At 42.2% G+C, this 11,117-nt stretch overlaps 1 pseudogene; it reads left to right on the forward strand.

Annotated features, from left to right (window-relative positions):
- On the forward strand, positions 872–10,048 carry ZNF285BP (zinc finger protein 285B, pseudogene; annotated as a pseudogene).

The raw sequence follows: 11,117 nt of genomic DNA on the forward strand, positions 1-11,117 counted from the left end.
AGCAGGGGATAGAATGGGTGCTGGAGAGAGAGTTTAGGAAGACAAGAGTCAAGGTGTAGATGTTTAAAAATTTGTATTATTGATTAACATAATAATAAAAATCGGGATTTAATTTGTATGTCTTGGCTAACTACAAGTCCTTCAGACCACAGGCCTGGCCATACAAGATTAAGTCTTGCAAATGAAAGTGGAAATAGCAGAAGGTCGCTGTCATCCTGAGATTGCTCTCTTTTTTTTTTTTTTTTGAGACAAAGTGTCTCTCTGTTGCCCAGGCTGGAGTGTAGTGATGCAATCACGGCTCACTGCAGCCTCCGCCTCCCAGGTGCAAGTGATTGTCCTGTCTCAGCCTCCTGGGTAGCTGGGATTACAGGTGCCCGCCACCATGCCCAGCTAATTTTGTATTTTTAGTAGAGACAGGGTTTCACCATGTTGTCCAGGCTGGTCTCAAATTCCTGGCCTCAAGTGATCCACCCGTCTGGGGTTCCCAAAGTGCTGGGATCACAGGTGTGAGCCACTGTGCCTAGCCCTGAGATTGCTCTCTTAATCAGCAATTCCAGAGCCTCTTTTCCAGCGGAATTCAGATGTAGACTATGTCAGTTCATTCACAAGTCTGAGAAATGGAAAACAATGTGCAGGTTTTGACCCAAAAGCTTGAGGAGAGAGACAGGAGTTACACAGTGGTCTGAGATTGAGGGACTGGGTTCGAATCGAGGGAAGTCTTGAGGAGGTGGGAGTTCAGTCTGTTCAGAGTGAGAAGAGATGATATCTAGGGAGAGGAGAAAGTGTGAGAAACTTGTACAGATAAGGAAGGAACCAATGTTCATTCACAACTTGTTGGATCCATGATCTCATGGATTCTTTCTTCTTTGCAGTTCTGCTTTTCCAGAATTCTGCCCTTTCCAAAAGGAAGACGGTATGATTAAGTTCCAGGTAAGTTAAGGGTTTCTTTCACTTTAAATATACTGTTCATTCTGAGGAACGAGACACTTCTGTTTTCTGAAAGAAGGTCAGCATTTTTTGAGTGACTACTATGTATTAGGTACTTTATCTGCTCATAATGACTTTGTGAGGCAGGTGATATGACTCCCTTTATAGAAGTGAAGAAACAAACTCACAGATTTCAAGATGTCTACTTTGGTGCTACTCTAAGTGTAGTTCATGTATCAGTACCAGTCCATGAACTCCTTGTCACTGCCCCATGAGGGAAAAAGAATCAAAAGTAAGTTCAGAAACTTTTATAGCAATTTGGTGTTGCCGCAGCATCCGAGTGCATGGGCAGCATATACATGACCATACTCTAAATGTCACTGGTCTACTTCGATAAGTAGCAAGATTTGAATGGGTATGTATTGGTCAGAGTTCAACCAGCAAGACAGACCAATAGGAGATATATTTTAAAAGATTTATTGTAAGGAATTGGCTTATATGATTATGGGGGCTAACTAGGCAAGTCCAAAATCCATAGGGCAGCCCCTCAGGAAGGGTGGGCTGGAACTCCTGGACACAGACTGAAGCTACTGTCTGTGGGTGGAATTTCTCCCCCTCCCAGGGAAGCCTCAGTTCTGCTCATAAGACCTTTCAGTTTATTGAATCAGACATACTCAGATTAGTTAGAATAATCTCCCTTAAAGTCAACTGATTATGGACTTTAATCACATCTACAAATTATCTTCATAGCAATACCTAGATTAGTGTTTGATTCAATAACTGAGGACTGTAGCTTAGCCAAATTGACACATTAAAAAGACCATCACAGTGTGGCAGAAGGATTTTCTTTTAATCATGAAAAATTTAATGATGAAAATACACAAAAAAGGGCAAAGGGTCTTATGATCCTCCATTTGCAGTACCCATCATGCAGTTTCAACAATTAACTTTTTGCCAAAGAGATTTGCTTAATCTCTGTTTCAGTATTTTTCTTTCCCAAAGTATTTGAAAGAGGCATGGTATTTTACACTGTATTGGTTTTTCTCTGAGCATATCACTTTTGTATAGTACCTTATTATATATGCAACTAAAATGAATGAGCTCACACTTTTATCCTTCTGCCTGGAAACCATCTTGCCCAAGTCCAAGATTCATTAGGTACATTTTCTATCTTCTAAATTACAGCAACAGTTCACCAAATGTTCACCACTGCATCACCCAGGTCACCATTTTTCCAGCCTCCTGTAACAGTGTCCTCAATGGTTTTGGCCTGGACCTAAAGCCAATGCCATGAATATTTGGTAGCACTCTGCTGGTTTTGGTTAGCTTGGGTATGTCCTCATAGCAAAGACAGAGGGGCAAGAGAGCAAGTGGGCATGTGAGATTTCTCAAGGCCCAGGCTTAGAACTGGCACATTATCACTTTTGCTTCATTTTGGTAGCCAGAGCAGGTTACATTGCCAAGTCAAAACTAAAGAGGTAAGGAAACACACTCTGGTCCTTTAGTGAGATTGGAGAGCATGGAAGAGGATATTTCTAAATAGCAATCTAATTTAACACACTCTCTATGTATTTCAGTATATATTTCCTTAAAAATGGACTAATGAGATAATCAATAATTATTTGGTATTATCTAATACCCAGACAATAATCAAATTTCCCTGATTATCTCAAAAAAATTTTGACAGTTGCTTTGTTCAAATGGGATCTTAAAAAGGTCTATACTATCATATAGTTGGTTGTTGTATCTCATAATGTCTTTTAATCTAGAGAAATCTGCCCATCTACTTTATTCTCTCCTGCTGTTGACTTGTCGTAGAAACCAAGTTTGGTGTCCTGTGTTCTTTCCTACATTTGGAATGCATTTGTTTGCTTCCTTTTGGTGTCTTTCAGTGTGTTACTCTATCCACAGTATTTTTTGTAAGTGGAAGCACCAGATGCTTGAATAGATTCAGGTTCAAGGTTTTACAAGAATATTTCATAGATGGTTTTACAAGAATACTTCACAAAGGAAAAGATTTAAAGATGTTTTGCATGTATTTATTGGTTTATAAATTTGGTTTCTTAATATTTGGGGGCTGTCCTTGTACCTGCATCCTATGGCATTCCCTGCCTAGGATTCCTACCACCCCAAGTAGGCTTCAGGGTATCTGTATTTCCTGAATGATTAATTCCAATTCAATTTTGTTGCCTCCCACAGAAGAAGGATACAGTAGTGTTACTGACAGAGCAGTGCTATTAGGACAACTGTGCTGACTCCCCTAGATTTTGTTTTTAATCATTGTCAGATTTTGGTAATTGGACAATTGTTAGTAACATATTCTTTTTGAAGTCCTTTATAACTGCTTACAACTTTCGTTTGAAAGCTCTGCTTTATTTAGAGATGCAGAATCTATTGAGAGAACATATCTGTAAATACTCGACTCTGAGCAGTGTGACATATGCAGTGATAGAAATATTTTATGTAAAAATTGGTGTCTTGATTAGGAGATGGTTATTAATATCAGATTATTCCCCGCATCCTTTTATTTTAAGAAATTTCAATTTATCGAGAAAATGAAAGAATAGCATAATGTGTAATCTTCACCTAGATTCACCAATTGTTAACAATCACCACAAACATATGCATAATATGTGTATATACACACACATATCTATATTTTATTTTGATGACCCAGTTGGGATAAATTGCAGACATCATTATAATTCATCCCTAAATATGTCAGTTTATATCTCCTAAGAATAAGAGCATTTTCCTACATTTCCACATTACTGCTAACATACTCAGGAAATTTCACATTGATACCATTATTTTTTAATAGTTGATATCCAAATGTTCTAAATTATCCTAATAATCTCCCTCTTCCCTTTTCTGTTTTTTGAATCTAGGAGCCAATGCTTTAAGTTACCCTGTCTTCTTACTTTCCTTTAACATGATAAAAATAGATTAATCTGCCATGAAAAAGTGAAAATACCAAACCTTGGTGTGTGATGGGAAATGAACTCATGAAACACTACTGGACTTATGTATCAGCACAACACCTTAGTATAGATTTATCTGCGCCTGTGTCCTGGGCCATATTTTATAATTTGATTAATATTGTCCTTTGGGAATCCCTGATTCAATAGGATTAGTATCCTTATGAAAAGAGACTCAACAGAGCTTGCTCTCATTCTCCCTCTGCCATGTAAGGACACAGTGAGAGGACAGCTGTCTACAAGCCAAGAGAAGAAACCTGAATGAAACCTATCTTGGTGGTACTTGATCTTAGACTTTCCAATCTCCAGAACTGTGAGAAATAAGTTTCTTTTGTTTGTTTAATCTAACCCAGACTATGGTATTTTATTAAGGCAGCCCAAACAGACTAAGACCAGTCATTTGTGTGGATGATTGATGTGGCATGTGGTTGATGTTTTAGGAAAGGGTGATATTCAAGGACGTGGCTGTTGTCCTCACCAAGGAAGAGCTGGCACTATTGGATAAAGCCCAGATAAACCTGTACCAAGATGTGATGTTGGAAAACTTCAGGAACCTCATGTCAGTGAGTGAGTAACTGAGCATCAGACCACTGGACCTGTTTCCTCAAATCATCATTTCAAGCCAGATAGAATATTCCAGTTAGACCACAAAGAGAAACTTTGACCACTGGAGAGAAAAATCCTAAGAGCTGCATGCACAAGTTAGGACCCTGCAGTTAATGAGCTTTTACAGATCATTGTGAGGATGTGGCTCCTTGTGATGGGTTTGTGAGGGAGCTCTCCCCAAATCTTCCACCCCTGGCCTGTGGGCATTCATTGCAGGAAGTAAGCCCTTCCTCCCCTACTCACATATTTAGGCTCTCATTCTTTCCTCATATTTCTCAGAATGAGACTGATAAAATTCACACACCACCAAGGACCTTGATCTATTTGTTGCTTCTGGAGAAAAGTCAATGTTTATCCAATGTTCTGGATAAACCAGTGTTAATGGAATCATGGGAGAACTTTGATTTTGTTGGAAGTTACAACAGCCAACACTTATGGGTATATAGTAAGTGTAATCTAAGTGTTGGCTTATTTGATTACTTTTTGATAAATATCCAACCTCATTTTCATTTCTCAAAGTTTCATGTACAGTTAGGTATTACCTAAGTTTAGTTTATAAGATAGTGATATGGTTTGGCTGTGTCCCTACCAAAGTCTCATCTTGAACTGTAGTTCCCATAATTCCCATAGGTTGTGGGAGGGGCCTGGTAGGAGGTAACTGAATCATGGAGGGGGGTCTTTCTCGTGCTGTTCTCATGATAGTGAATAAGTCTCATGAGATCTGATGGTTTTATAAATGGGTGTTCTGCACAAGATTTCTCTTTGCCTGCCACCATGTAAAACGTCCCTTTGCTCTTCCTTTGCCTTCCACCATGATTGTGAGGCCTCCCCAGCCATATGGAACTGTAAGTCAATTAAGCCTCTTTCATTTATAAATTACCCAATCTCAGGTATGTCTTTATTAGCAACGTGAGAACAGACTAATACAGATAGTTGATGTTATTATCCCCCTTTTATGGATGTATTACTCTGTTTTCACACTGCTGATAAAGACATATCCAAGACTGGGCAATTTACAAAATATGAAGGTTTAACGGACTTACAGTTCCACGTGGCTGGAGATGACTCACAATGATAGCGGAGGTGAAAGGCACGTCTCACATGGTGGCAGACAAGAGAAGAGAGCTTGTGCAGGGAAACTCCCCTTTCTAAAACCATCAGATCTCATGAGACTCATTCACTGTCATGAGAACAACACAGGAAAGACCCACCCCCATAATTCAGTCACTTCCCACTGGGTTCCACCCATGACACATGGGAATTGTGGGAGTTACAATTCAAGATGAGATTTGGGTGGAGACACAGCCAAACCATATCATCCGCCCCAGACCCTCCCAAATCTCATGCCCTCACATTTCAAAACCAATCATGCCTCCCAACAGTCCCCCAAAGTTTTAACTCAGTTCAGCATTAACTCAAAAGTCCACAGTCCAGTGTCTCAACTGAGACAAGCCAAGTCTCTTCCACCTATGAACCTGTAAAATCAAAAGCAAGGTAGTTACTTCCTAGCTACAGTGCAGGTACAGGCATTGTGTAAATACAGCTGTTCCAAATGGGAGAAATTGGCCAAAACAAATGGGCTACAGGCCCCATGCAAGTCTGAAATCCAGCAGGGCAGTCAAATCTTAAAGCTCAAAAATGATCTCCTTTGACTCCATGTCTTGCATCCTGATCACGCTGATGTTGGGTTTCCATGGTCTTGGGCGGCTCCGCCCCTGTGGCTCTGCAGAGTATAACCTCCCTTCTGGCTGCTTTCATGGGCTGCTGTTGAGTGTCTGTGGCTTTTCCAGGCACATGGTGCAAGCTGTCGGTGGATCTAGCATTCTGGGGTCTGAAGGACAGTGGCCCTCTTCTCACAGCTCCACTAGGCAGTGCCCTGGTAGGCACTGTGTGTGGGGGCTCTGACATGTGGGAATTATGAGACACAACATATAGGAATTATGGGAGTTACAATTCGAGAAGAGATTTGGGTAGGGACACAGCCAAGCCATATCAATGGATGAAACAACTGAGTCACAGAATTAATAACTTGCCCACAATCACACAGCTTATAAGAAGAACTAGGATTTGAACCCTCCTAATCTGGTCCTAGGTCCTGTGATTTTAATAAATAACCTCATGAAACCAAAGCGTAAACTGTAGACACAGGACCTTTTGCATAAATCTGCATATCTCTGCAGTTGTTTCTCAAACTGCAGGATAAAACCCTCTTGGTGAGTCCTGAAATCAAATTACTGTGTCATAACTAGCAATTTTTAAAAAGCAAAATAGATTAATAGAACAGAAAACAAAAGAATTTATCAAAGTACATTGCACACAGTATGTAACTATCAGCTGAGCAAGTTTTAGTGAGCAGTCTGTGTTGATGTTTGTGCCTATTCCTACTGAGTCACAATGCTGATTTTACTGTGGGTTACAATCAAAACAATTGGGAAACCACTGCTTAAACCCTATTCAGGGCAGCTCGTGGTCTCCCTTTCCCTGATACTATCTTATAAACTAAAGTCACTTTCAATAAAACAACCCAGAAAGGACCTTGAACCAGAAGCAGTATCCAGTGGGACTTGACCATGATATTCATGCCATTTTGAAACCCATCTTAGGATCCCAAGAATATGATCGTCCTCTTCTGCCTCAGCCCCCTGTTTGTTATATACCACAGTCTTGCTTCCCTGGGTGCCAGGCCATTGACAGTGCCACAGTATCTGTTCCCCATTTTCATAGTCATGGCTGTTTGAGATTCTGCAACAACTTAAAAGGGCAGAACTTAAGGAAATGGATTGTAGGATCTGAGTGGTCTCTATCTTTTCATGAAGACAAAGAACCTTGGGGAAAATAAAAAGGATGTCTCTTAAAGCTTGTCTCAGAGGTTTACATACGCATCCCCGCACAACGCCAGGACCATATTTCACAATGTTTACCCCATTTCAATCCCCATTGCCTTTTTATCCCCATCCCCTTTAGGCTCACCATGTACAGTTGTGCAGGTTGTACACAAACATACATGATAGTCCTCCATATGACAGTGATGTGAAGGAAGGGAAGCCATCAGGAGATAGGACTTGTTGCTTGTTTCTGAAACCTCTTGTGACCCTTTGTGTCCCTTACTCTGCCCAACATATAAAAAACACTCCATCAATATGTATTATTTATATACACACACACACTACATAAAATGGGAGCCTTTCCCATACCTTTTGTAGCAAGATTATTAAAGGCTTTTTATCGACTACTCTTATAGCAGGGAGGTGAATTTCTTCCTTCATAAATTTTTCCTAAGATTTCCTTTTTTTTCTTTTTTGCAGAGTAGGGGTGGAAAGGTCTTGCTCTGTCACCCAGGCTGGAATGCAGTGGCACAATCTTGGCTCACTGCAACCTCTGCCTCCCAGGATTAAGCAATCCTCCAACCTCAGATTTCCAAGTGGCTGGGATCATAGGCAAAACTGAGCCAATTTTTAATTTTTTTGTAGAGATGGGATCTCATCATATTGCCCAGCCTGGTCTTGATCTCCTGGGCTTGAGTGATCCTCCCACCTCAGCCTCTCAAAGTGTTGCTATTACAGGCATGAGCCACTGCACCTGGCCAAGATTTCTTTTAATTTCCCTACAACACTTGATTTCCAATTGGCAGCTCACAGGTTAGAATTACCGTGGCTCTAATTGTTTCATATGTCAATAGAAGCCAGGGACAACTTCCCACCCCATCATATTTCGTTTTCTCAAAACCTCTGGACAGATGATTGACTTGGTCTCTTAGCCACATTCTCTTTCTTCTCATAAGAGATGGGATTAAAAACAACATTTTGAATCTTCAGGAAAAGGGGTTGAATTACCTTTTACAAGAAGTGCTTCATTGCTGGCAGATTTCGAAACAAAGGATCCAGGATTTAACTGGGAGTCAGGATTATATCATGAACCTTCAAGAAGAGTGTTCCCCACATTTAAAAATGTTTCCCTCTGTGAAGAGTGAGCAGGCAAGTCTCTTCAGATTTCTGAAAATGAAAACTATGTAGCAAATGTCATTATCAAAAATCAGGATATCACAGCATGGCAAAGCCTGACACAGGTTCTTACCCCAGAATCGTGGAGGAAAGCCAACATAATGACCGAGCCCCAGAACTCTCAGGGAAGATATAAGGGAATTTACATGGAAGAGAAATTGTACAGACGTGCTCAGCATGATGACAGCCTCAACTGGACCTCACATGATCATCATGAGTCCCAAGAATGTAAAGGAGAGGACCCTGGTAGACATCCCAACTGCAGGAAAAACTTTGGTATGAAATCAACAGTTGAACAACATAATGCAGTCCATGTATTACCACAGCCTTTCACATGTAATAACTGTGGGGTGCCCTTTGCAGATGATACAGATCCTCATGTCCATCACAGCACTCACCTAGGAGAAAAATCTTATAAATGTGACCAGTATGGAAAGAACTTTAGTCAGAGCCAAGATCTTATCGTTCATTGTAAAACTCACTCTGGCGAGACTCCCTATGAATTCCACGAATGGCCTATGGGCTGCAAACAGAGCTCAGACCTTCCCAGATATCAGAAAGTCCCTTCAGGAAACAAACCCTACAAATGTAAAGAATGTGGCAAGGGCTTCAGGTGCAACTCCTTCCTTTATAACCATCATGGAGTCCACACAAGGGAGATGCCCTACAAATGTGATGCATGTGGGAAAGGGTTTGGATTTAGGTCACTTCTTTGTATTCATCAGGGAGTACACACAGGGAAAAGCCCTATAAAAGTGAAGAGTGTGGGAAGGGCTTTGATCAGAGCTCCAACCTTCTTGTCCATCAGAGAGTCCACGCTGGAGAGAAGCCCTACAAATGCAGTGAGTGTGGCAAGTGCTTTAGTTCAAGCTCCGTTCTTCAAGTCCACTGGAGGTTTCACACAGGGGAGAAACCTTATAGGTGTGATGAGTGTGGAAAGGGCTTCAGCCAAAGTACACACCTTCACATTCACCAGAGAGTCCACACAGGGGAGAAACCATACAAATGCAATGTGTGTGGAAAGGATTTTGTGTATAGCTCTGTTCTTCACACTCATCTGAGTTCACACTCGAGAAAAACCATATAAATGCAAAGTGTGTGGAAAGTGCTTTAGTTACAGTTCATATTTTCACTTACATCAAAGAGATCACACCAGAGAGAAACCATATAAATGTGATGAGTGTGGTAAAGACTTCAGTCGGAATTCAGATCTTCGTGTTCACCTCAGAGTCCACACAGGAGAGAGGCCCTATAAGTGTAAGGCATGTGGTAAGGGCTTCAGTCGTAATTCATACCTCCTTGCCCATCAGAGAGTGCATATAGATGAGACACAGTACACACATTGTGAGCGTGGCAAGGACCTTCTGACTCATCAAAGACTACATAAGCAGAGAGAAACATTATAAAGGTAGTAAGTCAGGGTTCAATTAGGAAAACAGAAGCCACACTGTATTCCAGATGATAGAGGCTAACTCAGCCTTTGGGAGGGCTGGGGGAGCAAAAGACAGGGACGCTGCCATCGATGAGGTCAGCATGACAGGCTGGGGGTTCGCGCTGGCACAGGCGCCGGCAGCCACATCGGCAGGCAGGAGGGTCCCGCTGCACAGCTGAGGGGTGATGATTGCCTGGGTGGTGATGTCGGCCATTAGACGCGCCTCTTCTGCCGGCAAGTGTGTGGCAGTATGAAGTAGAAGGACAAGCCTGTATTTGAGGCTGGAATGCGGAAGGGGCTCTTCTGCGGCTAGGTGTGGGACCCTGAGCAGGAATGTGGAGAAATGGGCAGGTAAATGCATCACGTTGGCCAGGAGATTTGCAAGGACTTACAGCTGAATGATGATAATGGGGAGTGACTGTGAGGCCCTGGGAGTCTCTGAGTGTAAAGGAAGATAGGTGTGGGGCCCCCAGGGAGTATGTGGGAGCCATTGCTGTGTAGGTGGAGGTAGTTGGGGAATAATCTGGTGAGCTCTGTGAATTTCTAGGGTTCTCCTGAATGCTGAGGGGTGACTCTTGCAGAAAACTGAGGATGCTTGGAGAATAGCTGGGAGACACAGATGAGGCCCTAAGGAATGGTGGTATAGAGGTGACAGAGATAAGGGAGGAGCACAGTGAGGTCTATGAGTTTCTGGGTGACTCCTGTGTGTTCAGGGCTGACCCAAGGAGAAATCTGGGGATGGTTGGAGAGGAGCTGGGAGACACAGGAGAGTCCCTGAGGGTTGCAGGTGAAGAGATGGGAGACGTGATAGAAGAGGGCCCTGAGATTTTTGTCTATAGGTGATACTTGGGTTTGGGAAGCTGAATGTTGCAGTAAGCTGGGGATTGAGAGAATCTGGGAGACACAGGAGAGTACCTGAGGGCCTGGAGTAAAGAGTTGGGAGACATGGGGCCAGAGCCCTGTGAGGTCCCTGAGTTTCTGCTTGTTACATGGGTGTCAGGGCCTGACTGTTACAGAAATCTAGGAATGATTGGAGAGTAATTGGGAGACATGAGACTCCCTGAGGGCTGGTGGTGAAGAGATGGGAGACATAGGGGAGGATCCCGTGAGGTCTATGAGTGTCTCTGTAATTCCTGGGTGTGGCAGGCAGACTGTCACTGAATATGAAGAATG

This window comes from Homo sapiens, chromosome 19, assembly GCF_000001405.40.
Source record: "Homo sapiens chromosome 19, GRCh38.p14 Primary Assembly".
NCBI classification, from domain to species: Eukaryota; Metazoa; Chordata; class Mammalia; order Primates; family Hominidae; genus Homo; species Homo sapiens.